Here is a 27234-nt window from a genome sequence, read left to right on the forward strand (position 1 = left end):
GTTTATCTGTAAGCTCCTACTCCAACACTTAAAAACAGGGCTCTCACCCTCTGCCATCTATTTACTAAATTGTTCAATTCCAGTGTACATGTATGGTGGCTTCAGAGTTATTAACCCATATCCCCATGGGAAACAACTTTATCAACTAGAATGCAATTCTTATGCACAGTTTCTTTTGTCTAATTTCTTGTGCACGGATCCCACACTGATTTTCAAAGATATTTAGGTCACCAACTAATTGCCCACTTCCATCAGTAAGGTTTTTGCTGACATTTTTAATACTATTAGATTATTTTATCACATTCTATACCTCATCCTGTTGTCACCCAATCTCCTAAATAATTTTCTAAATTTGCATACATTAAGGTGCAATCTTTGTTCTGTAATTTTCTATGGGTTTTGACAAATGCATAATCACATGGATCCACCATTAGAGTATCATATGTAATAGTTCCAATGCCCTATAAAATGCCCTATGTTTCACCTATTCAATCCTTTCTCACCCCAAACATCTGGCAATCATTGATGCTTTTTATTGTCTTTATAGCTTTTCCGTCTACAGAATGACATATAATTGAAATAATACAGTATATAGCTTTCAGTCAGGCTAGCTTCTTTCACAAAACACTACGAATTTAAGATTTATGTCTGGGCTGGGCGCGGTGGCTCACGCCTGTAATCCCAGCACTTTGGGAGGCCGAGGAGGCCGGATCATGAGGTCAGGAGATCGAGACCATCCTGGCTAACACAGTGAAACCCCGTCTCTACTAAAAATACAAAAAATTAGCAGGGCGTGGTGGCAGATGCCTGTAGTCCCAGCTACTCGGGAGGCTGAGGCAGGAGAATGGCGTAAACCCGGGAGGCGGAGCTTGCAGTGAGCCGAGATCGCGCCACTGCACTCCAGCCTGGTGACAGAGCGAGACTCCATTCAAAAAAAAAAAAAAAAAAAAAAAAAAAAAGATTTATGTCTGTTTTTTTTGTGGTTAAATAGTCCATTTTTAATCACTCCATAATATTGCATTGTATGGATATTCCACAGTTTGTCTATCAATGTCTATCCATTCACTTCTTGAAAGACATCTGGGTTGCATGTAGTTTTGAGTAATTATAAACGCATCTACTAGAAATACAAGCATGTAGGATTCCATATGGACATAAGTTTATTGGAGTGTAATTACTGCATTGTATGGTAAGACTATGTTTAGCTTTACACGAAGCTGCCAAACAGCCTTCCAAAGTGACTGTGCCATTTGCTTTCACACTGTGAATCACCAAGAATTTCTGCTGCTCTGCATCCCCCCAGCCATTTGTATTTTCAGTATTTTGAATTTTAAACATTCTAATGGGTGTATATCTTATTTTAAGGTGGTTTTCATTTGAAATCCCCTAATCACAAATAATGTTGAGTACTTCTTCACGGGTTTATTTCCTATTTGTATAACTTCTTTGGTGAAATGTCTGTCCAGATTTTGACTACTTCTAACTAGGTTGTTTGTTCCTTATTGTTGTTCATGTAGAAGGATGAAACAGAATAGAGCTACCACAAACAGACTGACAGAAATATAGTAAAGTGACTTTTGACAAAGGATTCAACTCAATGAAGAAAGGGTAGTCTTTCAACCAAATGCTGAGGAAAAATTAAAATGTCTTTATGTAAAAAATTAAAAAAAAATTCAAAACCTAGACAAAGACTTTAGACTTTTTACAAAATTATTTCAAAGTTGATTATAGACCTAACTGTAAAATGTAAAATAAACGCAACTTTTACATGAAAGTATAAGAGAAAAAATACTTTTTAATTCACTTAAAGGGCTTGATGATATTAATGTTGATCACTTTTGTATTTCTGATATTGGTAATTTCTTTATTCTCTCTCTTTCTTTCTTTCACCTGCCTAGAAATTTATTACTCCTATTAAACTTTTCAAAGGTGGATTGTTTGCTAACTTAAATTTTATTAATTTCTGTTCTAGTTTTTGTTATTTTCTTATGTTTTCTTTAGCTTAAAATGTTCTTTTGTCTCTATTTTTAAGGTAAGAACAAGATTAAGGATTCTAGATATTTCTTCTCTCTTAAATATACTTTGAATGCTATAAATGTTCCTCTAAGCACTGTTTTGCTGCTTTCCACCCATTTTTATAAAGTGTGTTTTATTTTCTTTAGTTCAAAACATTTTTAAATTTCTCTTAAAAATTCTTATTTGATCCATATGTTACTTAGATGTGAGTAGTTTAATTTTCAAATATTTTCGGATTTTCTAGGTGCCTTTCTGTTAGTCTTTTCTAGTTTAAGTAAATTGTTCCTAAGGACATATATAGTATGTTTTCAGTTTAAATGTTTTCCTTCATTTTGTTAATGTGGTGTATTACATTGATTGATTTTTATATGCTAAACTATCTTTGCATTCCAGGAGTAACCCTCACTTGGTTATGGTGTATAATCCTTTTAAAGTGCTGCCGTATCCTGTCTGCTGGTATTTTGTTGCAGATTTTTGCATCAGTTTTCAACAGGGTAATCGGTCTGCATTTTTTTTGTTTTCGTTTTTGTTTTTGTTTTGTTTTTCCCTATAGTTCTTTGTCTGGCTTTGTATCAGGATAGCGCTGGCCTCATAAAATGAGTTTGACTGTATTTTCTCCTCTGCAATTTTTTAGAAAAATTTGAGGAAGATTGGTGTTAATTTAATTCCTTTAAAATTTTTAAGGTGTGTTTATGATGCAGATTGTGGACTATCTTGATAAATGTTTCATGCAAGCTTGACATGAAGGTGCATTCTTCAGTTGTTGGATGTGACATTCCATAAATGTTAACTAGATCAAACTGACTGATAGTGCTGTTCAAATAAAATATACCTTTACTGCTTTTCTGGCTGCTTGAGCTATACATTACTGATAAGGTATGCCAACATCTCGAAACATAATAGTGGATTTATCTACTTCTTCTTTCAGTTATATCAATATTTGTCTCACATATTTTGATTATCTATTGTTTTGTGTTTATACATTTAAGATTTGTATGTTTTCTTGGAAAATTTGCCCCCTTATGATTGTAAAATGCTCTCCTTTTCACTAATAATTTCCCTTGCTCTAAAGACTTATTTGTCTTTAGTTAATATAGCCACTCAAGCTTTCTTTTGATTTTTGTTAGCAAGACACATTTTTCTCAATCTCTTTACTTTTAACCTGTCTTTATTTTAAAAGTGGATTCATTGTACACAACACATAGTGAGTCTTGTTGTATCATATATACTGACAATCTCTGCATTTTCATTGGCATATTTAGACCATTCAAATTTAAGGCAATTATTCCTATATTTGGAACAATATTAACTATATTTGTAACTCCTTTCTATATATTGCTGGAGACTTCTTTTTCTGCCTACTGTGGATTTATATGAGTATTTCTATGACTCAATTTTATATTCTCTTTCAAGATATCAATTATACCTTTTTAAATATTTATTTTATTATTATGTTTTCTTGATTTCTTAACTTTTATTTTAGATTCGGGGTAAATGGACAGGTTTGTAACATGGGTATATTTAAGGTCACTGAGGTTTAGTGTATGATTTATCCCATCACCCAGGTAATAATAATGCTACCCAATAGGTAGTTTTTCAACCCAACAACCTTCTCACTCTCCCCTCTCAAGCAGTTCTCAGTGTCTATTCTTCCAGCTTTGGTTTATGTGTATCCAATGTTTAGCTCCCGCTCATAAGTGAGAATGTGCAGTATTTGGTTTTCTGTTCTGGTGTTACCTCACTTAGAATAATGGCCTGTAATCCCAGCACTTTGGGAGGCTGAGGCAGGTGGATCATGAGATGAGGAGTTCGAGACCAGTCTGGCCAACATGGTGAAACCCTGTCTCTACTGAAAATACAAAAAATTAGCCGGGTGTGGCAGTGTGCACCTGTAATCCCACCTACTCGGGAGGCTGAGGAAGGGGAATAGCATTAACCCAGGAGGCGGAGGTGGCAGTGAGCTGAGATCATGCCATTGCACTCCAGCTGGGCGACAGTGCAGTGTGAGACTCTGTCTCAAAAAAAAAAGTATTTTTTCATATATCTGTTTGCCATATGCATGTTTTCTTTGGAAAAATGTCTGTTCATGTCCTTTGTACACTTTTTCTTCTTTTCTTTTTTTTTTTCTTTTTTTTTTGAGACAGGGTCTTGCTGTGTTGCCAGGCTGGGGTGCATTGGCGTGCTCTCAGCTCACTGCAACCTCCGCCTCCCAGGTTCAAGGGATTCCCCTGCCTCAGCCTCCCAAGTAGCTGGGATTAGAGGCAGGCACCACCACGCCCAGCTAAGTTTTTGTATTTTAGTAGAGATGGGGTTCACCATGTTGGCTAAGACACTCTTAATCTCCTGATCTCATGACCCGCCTGCCTCAGCCTCCCAAAGTGCTGGGGATTACAGGTGTGAGCCACCACGCCCGGCCCCTTTGTACACTTTTAATGGGGTCGTTTGTTTTTATTTGTTGAATTAAGTTCCCTGTAGATTGTGGATACTAGAACTTTTTTGGATGCATAGTTTGTGAATATTTTCTCTCATTCTGTGGGTTTTCTGTTTACTCAGTTGAGAGATTGTTTTGCTGTACAGAAGTTCTTTGGTTTGATTAGGTTGCACTTGTCAATTTTTGGTTTTGTTGCAATTGCTTTTGAGGACTTAGTCATTAATTCTTTCCCAAGACCGATTTCCAGAATGATATTTCATAAGTTTTCTTCTCAGATTCTTATAGTTTTAGATCACACATTTAAATTTTTAATCCATCTTGAGTTAATATTTGTATATGGTAAAAGGAAGCTTCAATCCTCTGCATATGGCTAGCCAGCTATCCTAACAGCATTTATTGAACAGGGACTCTTTTCCCCATTGCTTCTTATTGCTAACTTTGTCAAAGATCAGGTGATTGTAGGCGTGTTGCTTTATTTCTGGGTTCTTTTCTCTGTTCCATTGGTCTATGTGTCTGTTTTTGTACCAATACCATACTATTATGATTACTATAGACTTATAGTATAGTTTTATGTCAGATAGTGTGATGTCTTCATCTTTATTATTTTTGTCTAGTATTGTGCTGGTGATTTGGACTCTTTTTTGGTTCTATATAAATTTTAGAGTAATTTTTTTTCTAATTCTGTGAAAAATGACAAAGTATTTTCATAGTAATAGCGGTGAGTCTGTTCCCCTGCGCAGTATTGTCATTTTAACAACACTGATTCTCCCTATCCATGGGCGTGGAATGTTTTTCCATTTGAATGTGTCTTCTTTGATTTCTTTCAGCAGTGTTTGGTAATTCTCATTGTAGAGATCTTTACATCCCTGGTGAGTTGTTCTATAGGGGTGGTTGTAATGTCACCTCTGTCATTTTGGATTGTATATATTTGAATCTTTTGATTTTCTTTATTAATCTAGCTATCAATCCATCTTGTTTATTCTATTGAAGACCAACTTTGGGTTTCTTTGATCTTTTCTATGGATTTTTTGCATCTCAAATTCATTCAATTCAGGCCTGATTTTGATTATTTATTGTCTACTGCTAGTTTTAGGGTTGGTATGCTCTTGTTTTTGTAATTTTTCTAGGTGTGGCATTGTTATTAATTTGAGTTCTTTCTAACTTCTTGATGTAAGTGTTTAGTGCTATAAATTTTTCCTCTTAACATTACTTTAGCTATATCCCAAAGATTCTGCTATGTTGTGTCACTCTTTGTGTTAATTTCAAATAATTATTTTTATTTCTGCGTTATTATTTCTAACCAAGTCATTCAGGAGCAGGTTGTTTAGCTTGCATGTAATCGTATGGTTTTGAGATATTATCTTGGTGTTTATTTCTACTTTTATTGCACTGTGGTCTGAGAATGTGGTTGATATGATTTCAGTTTTTTTGAATCTGTTGAGACTTGCTTTATGGTGGAGGATTTGGTCAATCTTGAGTATATGCTGTGTACAGATAAGAAGAATGTATATTCTGTTATTGCTGGGTGGAGTGTTTTTTAGCTATCTATTAGGACAAATTGGTATTGAATTTAAGTCCAAAATATCCTTATTGGACTTCTGCCACAATGATCTGTCCAATACTGTCAGTGTGATTTCAAATCACACTATTCCTGTATGGTTATCTAAATCATTTTGTAGATCTCTAAGAACTTGTTTTGTGAAAATGAGTGCTCCAACATTGGATGTATATGTATTAAGGATTGTTAAGTCATCTTGTTGAATTAAACACTTTGTCATTATCTGATGCCTTTCTTTATCCTTTTGAATGGTCATTGTTGGTCAAAGTCTGTTTTATCTGTTATAATAATAGTGATGCCTGCTTTTTTTAATTTTTGTTTGCATGATAAATATTTCTCCATTTCTTTACTTTAAGCCTATGTGTATTGTTACTTGTGATATGGGTCTCCTGAAGACAGCAGACAGCTCAGTCTTGCTTCTTTATCCAACTTGCCACTCTATGCTTTTTAAGTGGAGCATTTAGCCTGTTTACATTAATCATCAATATTGATATGTGAGGATTTGATCTTGTCATCCTATCATTAGCTAATTGTTATATAGACTTGATTGTATAATTGCTTTATAGTGTCAATGGGCTATATACCTAAGTGTGTTTTGTGATGGCAGATATTCTTTCATTTCCATATTTAGCACTGCCTTTGGGACCTCTTGTAAGGCAGGTCTAGTGACAACAAATTCCCTCAGGATTTTCTTGTCTGAAAATGATTTTATTTCTTCTTTGCTCAGGTGGATGGAATATGAGATTCTCGGTTGGAATTTCTTTTCTTTAAGGATGTTGAAAATAGGCCCCCAATCTCTTCTGGCTTGTAAGGTTTCTGCTGAAAGTTCTGCTGTTAGTTTGATGGGATTCCCTTTGTAAGTGACCTTCCCCTTCTCTCTAGCTACCTTTAAGAATTTTTTTTTTCATGTTGACCTTGAAGAATCTGATTACTCTTATGTCTTGGGGATGGTCACCTTGTCCAGTACCTCACAGGGGTTCTCTGCATTTCTTGAATTTGCATGTCAACCTGTCTGCTGAAAATGCAGAAATTTTTATGAATTATTTCCTCCAATATATTTTGCAACTTGCTTGCTCTCTCTCCTTCTCATTTAGAAATGCCACTGAGTCATATGTTTACACAGTCCCATATTTCTGTACATAATCCCATATTTCTCAGAGGTTTTCTTCATTTGTCAATATTCTTTGTTCTTTATTTTTGTCTACCAGCGTTGCTTTGAAGGAGCTATTTTCAAGCTCTGAGATGCTTTCCTCAGCTTGGTCTATTCTGTCGTTTATGCTTTCAATTGTTTTATGAAATTCCTGTAGTGAATTTTTTATTTCTAATAATTCAGTTTGGTTCTTTCTTAAAATAGCTACGTCATCTTTTAACTCATGGATTGTTTTGCTGTTTTCCTTAGATTTGGTTTCAATCTTCTCTTATATCTCATTACACTGGATTGCCATCTAGTTTCTGAATTCCATTGCTGACATTTCAGCCATTTCTATTTAGTTAAGAACCAATGCTGAGGAGTTAGTGTGATCCTTTGCAAGTAAGAAGACACTCTTAACTTTAAGAGTTGCCAGAGTTCTTGCACTGGTTCTTTTGCATCTGTCAGGTCTGATGTCCCTTTATTCTTTGAAGTTGTTGTCCTTTGAATGGGGCTTTTTGTTTTTATGTTCTTTATTGCCCCTGAGGGTTTGACTGTGGTACGAGTTGTGTATAGTCGAATGGCTTCATTTCCAGATGCTTTCAGAGGGCCAAGTTTCAGCTCAGCAATCCTGGACTGCATGCTCCACCCTGGGTGGCTGGAATCAGGCCCTTAGCTTTGTCCTCTGGCCCTTGAGGTGCAGCACCGGCTGCACTGCAGGGCTGAGATGCTCCCAGACCACTGGCAACAGCACTCCATGGGGGTTGTGTGCAAAAGTGCACTGGCAGGCAGCATGGGGGCAGTGTGTGAAGGTGCTCCAGTGGGGCTGTGGCAGAGTCATGGCCAAATGTATTCCAGTAGGGCAGCGATTGGTGGGGGGCATCTTGGAGGGACACACTCTGGTGGGGGACTGTCAGCAAAAGTGTTGTGGTGGGGTGACAGGGGTTGCCTGCAAGAGCACTATGGCCATAGCGACTGCAAAAGTGCTTTAGTGAGACAGCTGAAGATGTTTGTGAACTGGTGTTGTCAGGCAGGGACTCTGGATGGGGCCAGCAGAAAGGGGGTGAGGGTGCACAGATGAAACTCACCCCTGTGCCAGAAGAAAGGCAGCCATGTTCTCTCCAGGTGCAGCAGATAACAAAGTTAAAGCTACCTGGGGGAATATGGAGAATGTTGGGGGATGGGTGCCTATAGCTGTGTTCCACCACATCCTTGCCCCCACTAACTCAACTGGGCTCTGTGCAGATTCAAGCTCTGTCTTTGCCAAATCTCTGGGCAGTTTCTCCTGCCAACTCAAATGACCGTGGGGATCATGGGGTCATCTAGACTAGGATCCCAGAGATCTGTGGAGATAGTGAGCTGTTCTATATTTATTTCGCTCACCCCTTCCTTAGAAGCCATTCAAGACCAGGAATGAGTCCTGATGCTTGGCCTCACTTCTACTTCCTCTGATTTTTTTTTTAGTGTTTTTCTTACAGTTTACAATATAAATTTTTAACTACTTCAAGGCCACTTTAAAATGATACTATTTTTCATATTACTTCAGGCAACTTATAACGGAGGATCCAAATTTTCACTCTCACATCCCTTGTGACAAAGCTGTCTTTCATTTAACTTATTAATAGGCTGTAAATGCATGATATTTTATTACTATTATTACTTATAATAAATAGTTATCTTTTACATCATTAAGAATTATAAATAATAAAACATATTAATTTACCAAAAGTCATTACTTCTCTGTTGTTCTGCATTTCTTCATGTTGATTCAATATTCTGACCTAAATGGTTCCTTCTTCCAGAATAAAAAATAATAATAAACCTTACAAAGTATGTCTGTTGGCCATGAATTCTATTTGTTTTTGTGTGAGAAAGACTATCTCTTTTTACTTTTGAAAGGTAATTTCACAGGATATAGAATTTTAGGTTGGTAGTTTTTGTTCTTTCAACATTTTAAAGAAATAACTATTTTTCAACTAGATTTTCTTTTGTTTATGTGGTTTCCATAAAGAATCTGATGTTTCTGTTATTCTTCCTCTATAGATAAGGTGTTTTCCTCAACTCTGGGTCTATTTAGAAGTTGATCTTTGTTTCCTGTTTCCTGGAGTTTTAATATATGTTTAAGGTGAAAGGTTTTTGGTGTTCTTGTTTTTGTATTTATTTTGCTGGATGTTCTATAACCTTCCTGAATCTGTGATCGATTGTCATTAATTTTAAAAAGTTATCAGCATCCTTACTTCGCAACTTTCTGCTCCATTCACTTTTTATTCTCCTCATGATACTCAATTACACATATACTACATCATTTTCATTGTTCAAGAGTACATAGACATTCTGTTCTATTTTTCATCCCCCCAACTTCACCTTTTAATTTCATTTTAGGAAGTTTCTGTTAACTTATATTAATGCTCACTGATCCTTTACTCAATGCTCTCTTGCTTCCTTGCCTACTGATGACTTCAAAAGGCATTTTTAATTTGTTATAGTGTTTTTTATTCTTAACATTTACCTTTGATTTTTAATTAAAAATCCCATATCTCTATTAGGCATCTGGTCTTTTATGTTCTTACTTTTTTATTAGAGCTCTTAACACATTGGAAATCTTTTTTGGTATTTTGTTTGGAGGATTTTTGGTATTTTTTTAATTGAGATAAGACTTAAATAACATGAAATTAATCTTTATAAAGTGAACAATTCAGTGTCATTTAGTTTATTCACAATGTTGTACAACTATCACCTTTATCTAGTTTCAAGATGTGTTCACCGTCCCAAAATAAACCCCAGGCACATCAAGGAGTTATCCCCTACTGCCTTCTCCCCAAAACCACCAATCTCCTTTGTGTTAAATGAATGTATTTATTAGGCTAATTCATATAAATGGAACCATACACTATGTCGCTTTTTGTGCTTGGCTTATTTATATTAGTATAATGCTTTCAAGGTTCATCTATACTGTGGTACATAGTAGATTTCATTCCTTTTTAAGGCTGAATAATATTCCATTGTGTGGATATACCACCTTTTGTCAAATGTCAAATGTCCCTTGATAAGCATTTGGGTTGTTCCCACCTTTTGGCTGTGTGAATTGTGCTGCTATGAGTATTTATGTGGAAATATTTGTTTGAGTATCTATTTTTACTACTTTTGAGTATATACTGAGGAGTGAAATTCCTGGGTCATATGGTAATTCTATGTTTAAAATTGTGAGGAACCTCCAGAGTGTTTCCCATCGTGGCTACAACATATTGAATTCCCATTAACAATGTACAAAGGTTTTCATTTCTTTATATCTTTCCCAACACTTGTTATATTTGTTTGCTATTATTATTTTTTGATTGTCACCACCTTAGTGGATGCAAAGTGATATTTCATTGTGGTATTACTACGTATTTTGCTAACAATTAATAATGTTGAGGTTCTTTTCATGTGCTTATTGGCCACTTGTATATCTTTGTTAGAGAAGAAAATAATAAAAATAAGAGCAGAGATCAATGAAATAGAACACACAAAAAGAGGAGAAAATCAACAAAACCATAAATTGATTCTTTAAAAGATTAGCAGATTTTTAAAAAGTCTAAAATGTTGGAGCAAGAGAAAAGAGTCAAAATACAAATTACTAATATCAGAAGTGACATATTGAATTTCAGTACAGATCCTACATGTTTTGAATCACTTCTGTCAATAAATTACAGGACTTAGATAAGTTGTACAAGAATATTGAAAAAATTAATTCATTAACATAAATGCAAGAATAAAATTAACATTACATATTAATCTTAAGGAAATTACATTTGCACTCAAAACATTCTATAGAAAAAATGTCAAAGCTCTAATTGCTTTACTGGTCAATTCTGCTAAAGTTTTATGAAAGAGATCAATAATACATTTTTAGAAAATAGAAGAAAAATAGCTTTACGATGACATTATAAGAAACAAATGTTATGACCAATTATTCTTCACAACAGACTGGCCAAAAGAAAATAACAAAAGTAGTATAAATCAAAACTATTATTAAACAAGAAGTGTAATCTATTATTACAAAGTGGGATTTATATTAGAATTACAAGTTTGCTTTTACATTAATAAATATATTAATGTAATTTGATATTTAAATCATAAATAGAATAAAAGACTATGTGTAAGGTTTAACAAAAACTTTCCTTTCCCTTTATTCATGAAAATTTGGTCTTTGGTTGATTTCCTGCTTTCGTTTCCATAGAAACTAATGGCATGTTTTACTAGACAATGCTGCTTATGGAAAAGCTGACCCTGGATAGGTACATTGCTCCTGTAGTGGCAATTACAAATACAGTATTCTTCCTTTATCCCCAGTTTTGTTTCCACAACTTCAGTCACCCCAGTCGACCATGGTCCAAAAATACTAAGTGGAAAATGACCCCCCAGATTCCTAAGTTTTAAATTACATGTCATTCTGAGTAGTGTGATGAAATCTTGCACCATTCTGCTTCATCCTGACTAGGATGTGAATCTTCCCTTTCTCCAGTATCTCCACTCTGTGGGGATCTCCTGTCTGCCTGTTAATCAATTAGCAGCCATCTCAGTTAACAGATGGATTGTGGTGATATCACAGTACTCATGTTCGAATCACCATTATTTTACTTAACAATGGCCCCAAAGCGCAAGAGTAGTAATAATGGCAATTTGGATATACCAAAGAGAAAATGTAAAGTGCTTTCTTTAAGTGAAAAGTTGAAAGTTCACGACTTTATAAGGAGAGAAAATCAAAGGTATGCTGTGATTGCTAGCATCTATTGAAAGAACAAATTTACCTGTGAAATTGTGAAGAAGGATAAAGAAGTTCAGGCTAGTTTAACTGTCTTAACTTGACACCATAAAATTACAACCACAGTACATGAAAGGTGCTTAATTTAGAAAAGGCATTACATTTGTGGGTGGAAGATATTAGCAGAAACGTGTTCCTTATTATGGCAATTGGGTTCAGCACTGTCCGTGGTTTCAGGCATCCACATGGGGTCTTGGAATGCATTCTCTGTGAAGAAGTAGGCACTACCACAAACAGTGTGGCCCTTCTATCTTTCGGCTTTTTTAAATGAGATAACTTGTGAATGGGCAGGTTATAGGGCACTGAAAACTATGGTTATGGAGCTACTACAGGGACTTGGTGAGGGAGTGCAGCTTCTAAGCTAGTGGAGCTCCTACGCCAATAGGAATTTTTGATAGAAATCCACATTTATAGTTGTATATCTTCACTGCATTTTACCATGGGTCTTATTGCAGACACCAACTCGTTTTAGGTAGATCTGTTTAATACAAGCAAAGAGTTTGATATATAACTCACTGAATCATGCAGTAGTTCTTATAATGTCAACATATTCACTTTTGATAATCAGTTATTTTATTGGCCAAATATTCTATAGTTTTAAACATATATCGTCATTGAGAATCAATGCATTTTCTTGACGGTGGGATAAGAAAAATAGTGTTATATTTCAATAGACCACTGTAAGTGATTTATTGAAGTATTATTCTTTAAAAGTTAGGCAATGCTAATTAACTAATTATCAATCAATTCTGCAATATGTGAAATTGCAAAGCAGGTTATAGTTTACAATGATCTTACATGGTTCTCTTAATCTAATTGTATTTTTTTCTTTATCATTTTCTCTACTAAACACTGAAATTACAAGTTTGTTCTCTTGAATAAAAAAATGTTAATGTATTCCTCCTGCTAAGATCAAACTAAATTTTTTTGGTGACTGGAGGGTACGTGTCCTGCTGAGGTAACATAAATTGCTACACTTCCCTAAGAGTGTTCAGTTCCAGTTACAATCTACCCTGCCAGGTCCCAGCAGGTGAAAATGACTCACTTCTAAATCTAGTGAATATCCAGACACATTTAACATCTTAAAGTGTAGTTTTACCAGATGATTTTTAATATATCTGATATTTGACAAAATTATTTTATGGATTGTTATCCCAAAAAGAACCACTCAAATCTGCAGATTATAAGCACTTATTGATTAATTACTCACACTTGTCAAGGGTTTATAAGGTTATGACAATTTAATAAAATTCACAGACAGTCCGGGCACGGTGGCTCATGCCTGTAATTCCAACACTTTGGTAGGCCAAGGCAGGCAGATCAGGAAGTCAGGAGTTTGAGACCAGTCTGGCTAACATGGTGAAACCCCATCTCTACTAAAAATACCAAAAAAAAGTAGCCGGGCATGGTAGCAGGTGCCTGTAATCCCAGCTACTGGAGAAGCTGAGGCAGGATAATCACTTGAACCCGGGAAGGTGGAGGTTGTAGTGAGCCGAGATCACGCCACTGCACTCCAGCCTGGCAACAAGAGCGAGACTCCATTTCAAAAAAAAAAAAAAAAAAAATTACAGGCAGAAACAAATTTTTCCTCTTTTGGAAAATACACATTTTTATGTCCAGTCTCCAGAACAATATTAGGTGAATGTAGGCTATGATGATTTGAACTTTGATCTTTTACATTTGCCGTGACACTAGAGTTGATATTTTGACATTGAAACATAAAATAACTACATCTTGCTGGAAAAAGGTCAGGAAAAGTGGTAATTCATAACAGTATAATATTAATGAAAATCAGACCAACTCCTGACTCCTGTAAGGAAGGATGTTATAGAAGTTGGGAGGTGTAAAATGCCTAAATTATCTTCACCTCTTCTCATTTCTCACCCTCTGCATCCTTATCCCCCGGGATGTTTTGGAAATCTCCAAGGCCACCAGAAAAAGACAAAATATTTTTCAAATGCTTAAAGGAAAGTACTGTTCGCCCAGAATCCGATTCCAGCACAAATATTCTTCAGGCATAAAGGGGAAGTCATGACTTTTCAGATGGTGAAAAACATACAGAACTTGTCCCCAATAGGTGTAACCTAAAAGAGCGCAGAAGGAAGTTCTCTAACCGTCATGATCTATGGCTAGGCAGTATTCTTAGAACTGACACGAAAAGCATAATCCATAGAAGGAAAAAATAATAACATATAGAACTTCATTCAAATGTTTAAAAGTTCCTCTGCTGAAATTCTCATTGTTTTTTTACCCACAAATAAGGCCTGTCTCTCTCTCTCCGCTTTGAAAATATTTTTCTTGGTTTTTAGTTTTAGAAGTTTGAAGATGATGTGTCTTGCTGTGAATGTATTTAAGTTTATCCTGTTTAGTGGTCACTCAGGTTTACGTCTTTTGCCAAATTTGGGAAGGTTCCAGCCATTATTTTTTCAAGTACTTTCTCAGCCAGCTTTTCTTTTTTCTCTCCTTTCAACAGTTTGATAACATGAATGTTATAAATTTTATTACAAACTTCTCTGTTTCTGAGGCTCCATTCCTTGCTTTTTAGTCGACTTTTTCTGTTATTCAGATTGAATAATTTCAATTATTCTATCTTTCAGTTCACTTTTTCATTTTATGCCCCCTCCATTCTATTGTTACACACATATATGGAAGTTTTATTTCAATTATTATATTTTTAAGTTCTAAAACTTCTATTTTTTTGTTTCTTTCCTGAGATGTTTCATTTTTTTACATTTGTATAAGGCATATTTATAACTGCTCCTTAAAGTATTTTAATAATGGCTGTTTGAAAGTCTTTAATATTCTAACATCTATATCATCTTGGTATTGTCGTCTGTGGATTATCTTTTCTCATTCAAGTTGAGATCTTCCTGTCTCTGGGTATGATGCATGATTTTCCATGGAAACCTGTGGAAAAAAGCTGGGATCTTCAGACTCTGCTATATCAAACATTGCTGGAACCCTTAGGGCCAACCTGAAGAACAAACCCCTCTCAATATTATATTAGTTTATCCAAGTTATTGAATGTAATCATACTTTGTTCATTCATGTCAATGTACAGTATTTCATTTCTATTGAGAGAATACACTTATTATATACACTTAAATATATACATGGATAGATTATACATTATTTCTGCATATACAGATAAACTTTATGTTGAAGGCATTTTATATATTTTTTAAATCTTGAAGCTTATGAATAGCTCTGCAGTGATAATCCTTGATATATCTTTTGGTGAATATATGTCCTTATTTTAGTTCACTATCTACATAAGAGTGGAATTGTTGAGTCATAAAGTGTACATATACTCAGCTTTGACGATACTTCCAAACAGTTTTCTGATATGGTTGTACTAATTTATATTCCCGTTAGCAGTGTATGAGAGTTTCAGTTGTTCCATACTCTTGACAGACCTTGGATCACTGTTTTCTTTTTAGCATCATTGATGATTGTGACATTGCACTGTTGTTTTAATTCACATTTCTTAGATGGAAAATATAGTGCTTCATGTGTTTATTGTACATCTGAATATCCTCTTATGTGAAATGTCTGTTCAAAACTTTTGCCCACTTTGTGTAGAATTGTCTTTTTCTTTATTGTTAATATATTGGAGTTCTTTATATACCCTGAATATTCATGTGTTTTGGGATCTATATCTATACTGACATAGATATAGATCTATATCTAAATAATTATCTTCTATGCCTCTGTAGGCTATCTTTTCAATTAATGTTGTCTGTTGATCTGAAGTTCTTATTTATAAATAAGTGTGATTCAGCAATATTTTCTTTGTGATTAGTGCATTTTTTCCTTCTTTAAGAAATGTTACCTCCTTTAGGGTCATAAAAATATTCTTCTCTGTATATTTCTAAAGGTTTCATTGTTTATATTTATATCTATAATTTATATTTATATGTCTATATATTTATATCTATAAAAAAGTGGAATTGATTATTGTAAAAGGCATGAAGTAGAGACAAGAGGTATTTTTAAATATAGTAGATTAAGAATTACTTATTTCCAAGACCATTTTTTTTCTACCACTACATTGCAGTATTACATTTTTTTCATTAGCAGGTGAATTACTTCTATTCCTGGATTCTGTCCTTGTTTCAATTTCACATTGCCTCATTTACTATCACGTTATAATAGATCTTAATATATACACACATTTATAAATTTATATATTCTATAAATTTGCTATAAATTTAATTTATCGTTATAGAAAATGTTTAAAGAAAATATTAACAGAATAGTTATAACTGCTAATTTCATATTATTTACACCTGTAGCAGTCAAAAGCATGGGATCTGAACTCACATTGCCTCACTATATCTTAATTTCCTAATCCATCAAATTAAGTATAATATTAGGACCTATCTCAAGGCTATTCTAAGTTTTAAATTAATTAACAAATATTAATTATTTATAGAATGCTCACTACATAGTACACAGTTGAGGTTTGTTAATAATAATCAGCATAAACATATATGCATGTGTGTACACACATAAATATACATATATATACACATATACATACACATGAAAGTACAAGAAATTCTAGAAGTTTGTTAGGACTTATTTACAGAACAAAATAATTTCATTTGAGCGCAATCAACACACATGGTTTGCAGTTGAATCAATGATATTTACATACTAATTTAGATGTACTTACTCATTTGATTATACCACTCAGTCTTAGAAGTTCTTTCAGAAAATGAAGGCATACTTTTCTAATATGAACATGATCATTTTAAGTTGCAGCCTTCAGTAATTTAGAGTTCTATGATTTATCTGTTTATTAAAAATACTATGGTATAAATAAGTCAAGCTGCACCAAGAATATAGGCTTTGTGGTGGCCAGAAAGCTGTACACAGCTTTAACAAACAATTTTTAAAATATAATATAAATTATATTTAAACATGATATCATCTGTATCATAGATCAATTGAATTAATTATATACTATATTCTCTTTTTAGTTCAGATGATATAAATATGCAAGATTCCTAAACTCTATATGATTCCCTCTAAAAACAGCAAAAGTCTTCAAAAATCTCATAGAAGCCACAATCTTTTATTAATCTTCTTAAACATCCAACCGTTAATTGCAAAATAGAGCATAACTTGCTCATCTTTTATGAGAGAACATTGGCAAGTTTGAATAAATAATAATTTTAAATTATCTATTAAAGAAAAATAGATCTTTGTTCTTTCAATTTTTTAATTTTAACTGAAAGACAGCCTTGTATGTTTTAATCATGTACACATGGTTTTTTGAAGTATCTATCATATTGTGGAATGCTTAAATATAGCTAAAAAACAAATTCATTTTTGTGATTTGATAACACACAAACTTCACACTCTTTAATCTTTTTAAAAATAGAATGTATCATAATTATAGTCACCTTCTGTGCAATAGATTTCTTGAAATATATTCCTTCTATGTAATTGTAGTTATGTATCTTTTGAACAAAAAGGATATTTTTCGTATGTAATAAAAAATTTTAGTTTTTATTTTTTAATTATTAAATTTTTCTGTATAAAATAAAACTCTTCATGTGATTTTTAAAATTTTCTTATATCTAAGAGCGGTGAACAGATCTAATTATAATAGTATTTGGGGACAAATTTACATTTGTAAATATAAATTAGTTATTTGTTTGTTTCTGGATAAGTCCACAAACATATCCAAATATTTTTTGCAGATAAAGCTGATATCACATAAATACCAACTTTTTCTGCAGAGTAAAGTTTATATTAATTATTAAAAATTTTATGAGTTTGCAATCTTATACAATCACTTATTACAATCTTATATAATATTTGATAAGAGTTTTGCAATCTTATATGATCTTATATAAGATCATCATTTTGATCAATGATGAACTGAACATTCATCTTATAAGGTTATAATGAAGGGGCTGTGCCTGGTGGTGCACACCTGTAATCCCAGCACTTTGAGAACCTGAGGTGGGCAGATTGCTTTAGCTCAGGAGTTTGAGACTAGCCTGGACAACATGGCGTAACCCCATCTTTACAAAAAATACAAAAGTTAACTGAGCGTGTGGCTGTACACCTGTAGTCCCAGCTACTCTGGGAGCTAAGGTGGGAAGATTGCTTGAGCCCAGGGAGTCGAGGCTGCAGTGAACCCAGTGCCACTGCATTTCAGCCTGGGTGACAGAGTGAGACTCCGTCTAAAAAAAAAAAAAAAGATAATGGAACTGTTACCGTCCCTAAAGACCTTCCAGTGGGATAAGATGTGGAGTTGGAAGACCGTGATATTGATGATCCTGATCCTGCAGGTAGGCCTAGCCTAAAGTGTGTGTTTGTATCTTAGTTTGCAATTAAAATTTTAAGAAGTAAAAAATTTTTTTAAAGAAAAAAGCATATAGACAAATGATAGAAAGAAAATGTTTTGTACAGTTGTACAATGTGTTTTGTTTTGGTTTCTTCTTTTTTTTTTTTTTTTTTTTGAGACATAGTATCACTCTGTTGCCTAGGCTGGAGTGTAGTGGCATGATCACAGCTCACTGCAACCTCCACCTCCCGGGTAAGCGATTCTCATGCCTCAGCCTCCCAAGTAGCTAGGATTACAGGCAACCGCCACCACATCCAGCTAATTTTTGTATTTTTAGTAGAGACAGGGTTTCACCATGTTGGCCAGGCTGGTCTCAAACTCCTGACCTCAGGTGATCCACCTGCCTCGGCCTCCCAAAGTGCTGGTATTACAGGCATGAGCCACCGCGCCCAACCATGTTTTGGTTTTAAGCCAAGTATTATTACAAAAGAGTAAAGGAGTATAAAAAAACAAGTTTATAAGGTAAAAAAGTTATGCTAAGCTACGTTTAATTTATTATTAAGAAAAGAAAATTTTTAAAAATTAAGTGTAGTGTAGCTTGAATGTACAGTTTTATAAAGTAATGCACAGTAATGTCCTAGGCCTTCACATTTAGTCACCACTCACTCAGTGGCCCAGAGCAACTTCCAGTCCTACAGACTCCATTCATGATAAGTTCCCTATACTGGGGTAACATCTTTCATCTCTTATACTTTATTTTTACTGTACATTTTCTATGTTTAGATACACAGATACTTATCATTGTGTTACAATTGCCTACAGTATTCAGTAGAGTAACATACTGTATAGCTTTGTAGCATAGAAGCAATGGGTTTTACCATGAATCCTAGGAGTGTGGCAGGCTCTACCATCTGGGGTTTAATTATGCATTTGTCAGATCATATCCCTATTATTAAGTGATGCACAATGATAAATCCTAATTCTGAAAAAAGTCAGGCATACTTAGTTACTTTGTTATTATCTCCCTGCACCTTGCCTAGCAGATTTAGCCTCAGGCCCTTGGCCAAATACTGACCATCCTGAATGATTTATGGCTTCAACTACTCATGAGACATACGGGGATTGATGATCTAGATGTACATAAATTTATGACTTAACTACTTTGATGTAAGTGATTGACAAACAGACACTTGTACAGATCAAGGAGCTAAATCAGTTTATAAATTTAAACCAGCCATGTACAGAGATACAGGCATAAATAAATGATGCATAGAATCTTTGAGACTATCTCCTTATCCTCAGAATACAACTATGTTGGATTTATATTCTAGCCTACTAATGATAGAAGTTGGAAAGTTGATGAAAACATCCACTTTTCTTACAAACAAGGTTATATTTTCTCTTCCTTACATTTCTACAAATCTATTACTTGCAAGCTATCTTTCTATATGCTCTCAGATAACTTATAACTTCTATCTATGACACTTTGGTACTAAAAACTGCTAAGATATTACATATGCTATGCAAATATATAACATAAATATTATGATTTGCAGAGGTCAAGAGTGTTGTATAAAATCTTATTTAGTTGAATTCAGTATAGACCCCCAAATGATTAATTATATGTGAAAAAATATAATTTTTAACCAAGACAATGCCAAATAGAAATGATGTACAGGATTAGAGAAGATATATCAAGAATCTGCTCTTGAAAGCCATTGTAAGTTGTCAAATAACCACTAAAGAATATTTAGCTCCCTACAAGAGACAGACTTCAGGCTAAAGACAGCTACATATTCAAAGTAAAGGGTGGAAAAAGATACATCATGCAAAGGTAAAACAAAAGCAACTAGGAGTAGCCATCTCATGTCAGAAAAATACTTTTCCTTTTTTTTTGAGATGGAGTCTCAGTCTGTGCCCAGGCTGGAGTGCAGTGGCACGATTTCAACTCACTGCAACCTCCATCTCCCTGGTTCAAGCAATTCCCCTGCTTCAGCCTCCTGAGTAGCTGAGATTACAGGCGCACACCACCACAGCCCGGCTAATTTTTGGTATTTTTATTGGAGACGGAGTTTCACCATGTTGGCTACACTGGTCTCGAACTCCTGACCTCAGGCAATCCGCCCGCCTCGGCCTTCCAAAGTGCTGGGATTACAGACTTGAGACACTGCACCCGGCCCCAGATAAAATACTTTAAACCAAAAACAGTAAAAGAAGACAAAGAAGGGCAAGGTTCAATACAAGAAGATATATGTATCCTAAATATATATGCACCCAACAATGGAGCACACATATTGATAAAACAAATGCTACTAGACCTAAGAAAACATATGGATAGCAATAGGAAAATGGTGGGGGAGGAGCAACTTCAACACCTCACTGACATCACTAGAGAGATCATTGAGACAGAAAATTTATAGGGAAACTCTGGATTTAAACTGTACTATAGACCAAAAAAACCTAATAGACATTTACATAACACTCTATACAATAAGTGCAAAATATACATTCTTCTCACCTCTGCATGGAGCACTATCCAAAATTTAGCATATGCTGAGTCATAAAGCAAGTATCAATAAATGCCAAAAAATCAAAATCACATCAAGTATCTTCTTGGACCACAACTGAATAAAATGTAAAACTGAAACTAAGAGGAACTCTCAAAACTACATAAGTACATGGAAGGTAAACACATTGGTCCTGCATGACTTTTGGGTAAACAATGAAATTAAAATAGAATCAAAAAAATTTTTGAAATGAATAAAAACAGAGACAAAACATACCAAAAGCTCTGAAAGATGGCAAAGGCAGTGCTAAGAGGAAAGTTTATAACAATAAATGTCCACATCAAAAAAATAGAAAGATCTCAAATTATTAACCTAATATCAAATCTCAAGTAACTAGAAAAACAAAAACAATTTCAACCCAAAGGTAAGGAAAGAAATACAAAGATCAGCATAGAACTAAATGACGTGGAGACCAAAAAAATGATACAACGAATTAATTAAACAAAATATTGGTTTTTTAAAAGGTTAAACAAAATTGGCAGACCACTAGCTAGATTAACCAAGAAAAAATGAGAGAAGAGTCAAATAAGTGCAATCAAAAATGAGAAAGAGAGGCATTTAAACTGATGCTACAGAAAAACAAAAGATCATCAGCTCTAAGCACACAAACTAGAAAACCTAGAGGATGGGACTGTTTGTTTTTTCTTGTAAATTTATTGGAGTTCTTTGTAGATTCTGGATATTAGCCCTTTGTCAGATGAGTAGATTGCAAAAATGTTCTCCTATTCTGTAGGTTGCCTTTTCACTCTAATGATAGTTTCTTTTGCTGTGCAGAAGCTCTTTAGTTTAATTAGATCCCATTTGTCAATTTTGGCTTTTGTTGCCATTGCTTTTGGTGTTTTAGACATGAAGTCCTTGCCCATGCCTATGTCCTGAATGGTATTGCCTAGGTTTTTTTCTTTTTCCCTTTTTATGGTTTTAGGTCTAACATTTAAGTCTTTAATCCATCTTGAATTAATTTTTGTATAAGGTGTAAGGAAGGGATCCAGTTTCAGCTTTCTACATATGGCTAGCCAGTTTTCCCCGCACCGTTTGTTAAATAGGGAATCCTTTCCCCATTTCTTGTTTTTGTTAGGTTTGTCAAAGATCAGATAGTTGTGGATGTGTGGTATTATTTCTGAGGGCTCTGTTCTGTTCCATTGGTCTCTATCTCTGTTTTGGTACCAGTATCATGCTGTTTTGGTTATTGTAGCCTTGTAGTATAGTTTGAAGTCAGGTAGCGTGATGCCTCCAGCTTTGTTCTTTTGGCTTAGGATTGACTTGGCAAACCATCATTCTGATCAAACTATTGCAAGGACAAAAAACCAAACATCACATGTTCTCACTCATAGGTGGGGATTGAATAATGAGAACACTTGGACACAGGAAGGGGGACATCACACACTGGGGCCTGTTGTGGGGTGGGGGGAGGGGGGAGGGATAGTATTAGGAGACATGCCTAATGTAAATGACAAGTTAATGGGTGCAGCACACCAACATGGCACATGTATACATATGTAACAAACCTGCACGTTGTGCACAAGTACCCTAGAACTCAAAGTATAATAATAAAAAATAAATAAATAAATAAATAAATAAATAAAAAGAAAACCTAGAGGAGATGGATGAATTCCTTGAAACATACAGCAGATCCCCAAGATTGAACCAGGTAGAAACAGAATCCCTTAACAGACTAACGATGAGTAATGAAATTGAATCAGTAATAAAAAATCTTCCAAGGTGGGGAAACGAACAAGCCAAGACCAGATCTGAATTTTACCAGACATATAAATAAGAGCTGGTAACAATCCCACTGAAACTATTTCAAAAAATCAAGAAGTGATTCTTCCCCAACTCATTCTATGAAACCAGTATCACCCTGATACCAAAAATCAGTCAAGCATACTACCAAAAAAAAAGAAAGAAAGAAAGAAAGAAAACTACAAGCCGATATCCCTGAGGAACAGAGATGCAAAAGTCCTCAACAAAACTCTAGCAAGCTGAATCCAATAGCAAATCAAAAAGATAATTCATCACTTTCAAGTTGGTTTTCTTCCAGGGATGCAAGAATAGTTCAATATTTACAAGTCAATAAATGTGGTGCATCTCATAAATAGAACTTAAAAAGCATAAGATCATCTCAATAGACATAGACATAGGCAAGGTGTTCAATAAAATCTGACTTTACTTCATAATTAAAAACTCTCAATAAACTAGGCATTGAAAGAACATACCTCAAAATAATAAAAGCCATCTATGAAAAACCCAGAGTCAACATTATACTGAATGGGGAATAGTGGAAAGCATTTACCCTAAGAACTGGAACAAGACAAGTATGTCCATTCTCACCAGTTCTATTCAACATAGTACGAGAAGTACTAGCCAGGGCAATCAGGCAAGAGAAAGAAATAAAAAGCATTCAAGTCAATGAGGAAGTCAAATTGTCTTTGTTTGGTGATTACATGAATGTATACCTAGAAAACCCCAGATTCTCCTCCAAAAGCCTCCTAGATTTAACAAACAAATTAAATAAGGCTTCATGATACAAAGTCAATGCACAAACATCAGTAGCATTTCTATACACCAATGACATTCAAGATGAGAAACAAATAAATAACCCAATTCTATTTACAATAGTCACAAGAAAGATAAAATACCTAGGAATACATTTAACCAAAGAGGTGAAAGATCTCTACAAGGAGAAACTATAAAACACTTGTGAAAGAAATCATAGATGACACAAGCAAATAGCAAAATATCCCATGCTCATGGAAGGGAAGAATCAATATTATTAAAATGGCCACACTGCTCAAAACAATCTATACATTCAATGCAATCCCTATCAAATTATCAATATCATTTTTCACAGAATTAGAAAAAACAACACTAAAGTTTATATGGAACTAAAAAGACCCCAAAGATCCAAAGCAATTCTAAATAAAAAGAACAAATCTAGGGGCATCACACTGCCTGACTTCAAATTATACTGTAAGGCTAGAGTAACTAAAACAGTGTGATCCTGTTCCAAAAAAATAGGCACATAGATCAACGGAACAGAATAGAGAACCTGGATATAATACCACATATCTACAACCAGCTAATCTTCAACAAAGTTGGCAAAAATAAACAATGGGGAAAAGACATCTTATTCAATAAATAGTGCTTGGAAAATTAGCCATATGCAGAAGAACAAAGCTGGACCTCTATCTCTCACCATATACAAAAATTAAGTCAAAATGGATTAATGACCATCTTGACATAAGACCTGCACATAAACTTCTGTACAACAACAGAAATAATTAACAGAATAAACAGACAACCTACAGAATGGGAGAAAATATTTGCAAATTATGACTCTGACAAACGACTAATATCCAGAATCTTAAAAGCAACACAAACAACTCAACAAGAAAAAAACAAACAACTTCACTAAAAGCTGAGCAAAGGACATGAACAGACACTTCTCAAAAGAAGAAATACAAACAACCAACAAACACATGAAAAAAGTGTTCAACATCACTAATCATCAGAGAAATGAAAATTAAAACCACAATGATGTATCATTTTATAATATCAATAAAGGCTATTAGTAAAACACCAAAAACAACAGATATTGATGCGGATATGGAGAAAAGGAAACATATACTGTCGCTGGGAATGTAAATTAATTTAACCTCTATGGAAAATAGTATGGAAATTTCTCAAAGAGCTAAAGACAAAACTACCATTCAACACAGCAATCCCACTATTAAGCATTTATCCAACGGAAAATAAATTGTTATATCAAAAGGGCAGCTACACTTGCATGTTCATCATGACACTATTCACAATAGTAAAGCTGACCAACCTAAGTGTCCATCAGTGTTTGACTGGATAAAGAAAATGTGGTACATATCCACCATAGAATAGTATGCAGATATAAAATCGAAGTAAATCATGTCCTTTGCAGCAATGGAGGTAGAGCTAGAGGTCATCATCCTAAGTGAACAAACTCAGAAAACCAAATACTACATGTTCTCACTTATAAGTTGGAGCTAAACGATGGGTAAATATGGTCATAAATAAGAAAATAATAGACATTGGGGACTCCAAAAGCAGGGGGAAGTTGAAAAACTAACAAGCACAGGTTCACTATTTGGATATTGGATACACTAGAATCCTAATCCCCACCAGTACGCTATATACTCATGTAACAAAAAAGCACATGTACCTTCTGGATTAAAATAAAATAACATAAAACAAAATAAAACTTTACAGTTAAAAAAAAAACCTGTTGTGGCTGGGCGCAGTGGCTCACGCCTGTAATCCCAACACTTTGGGAGGAGGAGGCAGGCAAATCACAAGGTCAGGAGTTCAAGACCAGCCTCATCAACATGGTGAAACCCCGTCTGTACTAAAAATACAAAAATTAGCCAGGCTTGGTGGCACGTGCCCATAATCCCAGCTACTCAGGAGGCTGAGGCAGGAGAATCACCTGAACCCAGGAGGCGGAGGTTGCAGTGAGCCGAGATGGCGCCACGGCACTCCAGCCTGGGTGACAGAGCGAGACTCCATCTCAAACAAAAAAACAAAGAAACCTGTTGCTGAATTAGCAGTCTGATTCAGAAAATATTTACTTATTTTACTTCAAAATTGACCCCAAAAGTTTTGTACCCATATCCATTAATATATTATCCAGTTTTCTATGCAATCATTATTTTACTCTGAGGCAATAAACATTTGTATTTTTCTTTGGAGTGCCAATTTCATCAAAGTTGCAATTACATGTATAAAAGCAATGTTTAATATACCTGAATTGCTTGTTTCAAACATAATTTATTGACGAAACAAACATATTTCCAGCTCTTTTCTCAATGGTCACTTCCACTAGAAAGGATAAAAAATAAATAAAACATCCATGTATAATTATGGTTTTGTAGTTAAGGACAACCCTGTGACATCATTTTGGTCAAAAAAGGATTTACAGAATTATAACAGTAGGGTATAGAAGGTCTTGATGCTTTTAGAGTAAGGGGGCATTCGCAGCTGGTGCCATTTCTCCATTCTCCTTCCCAAGCTTCCCACCTTTATAATCCCAACACTTTGGGAGGAGGAGGCAGGCAAATCACAAGGTCAGGAGTTCAAGACCAGCCTCATCAACATGGTGAAACCCCGTCTGTACTAAAAATACAAAAATTAGCCAGGCTTGGTGGCACGTGCCCGTAATCCCAGCTACTCAGGAGGCTGAGGCAGGAGAATCACTTGAACCCGGGATGGTTCAAGTGATTATAATGGTCATGATGTTTGGGACTATCCCAAGTGTTTCACAGGAATGAGCTGACAAACATAATGGAATGATTTCCAGAATGGCTACGTGAGGGGCTTGGCAATTCTTTTCCCAGTAAAACAACCAGTTAACTGGTAAAATATATAAGAAACATCCACTTAACTTAAAGTCTCTGAAAATTGATCTGATTGCATGTAGCAAATGGAGAAACAGTTATTCAAAAACACCTGCTAACTTTCTGTAAGAACAGCAAGAATCTGTAGCATTTGAACCGCAATCTGCTTCAACTATCTTCCCATGCATGTTGTAAGGAGTCTCTACCCTGACAGTACAACCAAGAAAGAAGCCTCCCTTTTCCCACTGGTGGTAACCTGAATAGTATTTTGCTCAAGTAGGAGCATGGCACTGGTAACTATTATCTTCCATACCCCAGCTCTCTGTCTTAATCTTAGAAGTCTTAATCCAAGAAGGCATAGCAAGAGGATTAGGCTTCCCTTCCCTCACCCAGCTGACACACATAGGGCAGAATCTCTATCCAGACATGTTAAAATAATACTAGGGCCCATATCTTTCCTGCCACAGCTAACTGGTATGACAGAAGTTCATACTAGGAAAGAATGATGGGAAGACCAGGGGCTATCAACCCTCTCCTCCACTCCCATGCCCACTCATGGAACAGTGGTGTCACTCTTGAAAAGAAAAATATAAGAATCAAAACACCTGAAAAATGTAAGCTATAGAGAGAAAAAGAGAAAAGCAGGTGCCAGAAGCTGCCTTAAACAGAGCTCAGATCTTAGATTTAGTGAACAAAAACTTCAAAACAGCTATTATAAATTTTTTCAAAGGACTACCAGGGACCATATCTAACGAATTAAAGTATAATGACAAGTTTTTATCAACTAGAGAATATCAACACATAAATATAAATGATAAAGAAGAATCAAAAGGAATTTTAAAGTTGACAAGTACAATAATAAAAAATTATTGAAGGGCTCATCAGTGGATTTGAGTTGACAGAAGTAAGAACAAATAAGCTTGATAAAATTAATAGCTAATTCATGATCAGAAAAACAGATTAGAATGAAGAAAAAGTTAACAGAACCACAGATAAATGTGGTACAACTTAAGCAGGCCAAAATATGCATAATAGGAATACCGGAAGAAGAGAGAGAGAAAGGAA

General features: G+C 34.8%; 2 annotated features.

The window, feature by feature from the left end:
- Positions 7416-7917: an enhancer, noted in NCBI's record as "H3K4me1 hESC enhancer chr8:52117743-52118244 (GRCh37/hg19 assembly coordinates)". NCBI's record gives its function as "activates a minimal SCP1, AML or CMV promoter by ChIP-STARR-seq in naive H9 embryonic stem cells {active_cell/tissue: H9 hESC(naive)}" and the evidence as "EXISTENCE:reporter gene assay evidence [ECO:0000049][PMID:30033119]".
- Positions 7918-8417: an enhancer, noted in NCBI's record as "H3K4me1 hESC enhancer chr8:52118245-52118744 (GRCh37/hg19 assembly coordinates)". NCBI's record gives its function as "activates a minimal SCP1, AML or CMV promoter by ChIP-STARR-seq in naive H9 embryonic stem cells {active_cell/tissue: H9 hESC(naive)}" and the evidence as "EXISTENCE:reporter gene assay evidence [ECO:0000049][PMID:30033119]".

The sequence above is a fragment of the Homo sapiens genome, chromosome 8 (assembly GCF_000001405.40).
Source record: "Homo sapiens chromosome 8, GRCh38.p14 Primary Assembly".
Classification (NCBI taxonomy): domain Eukaryota; kingdom Metazoa; phylum Chordata; class Mammalia; order Primates; family Hominidae; genus Homo; species Homo sapiens.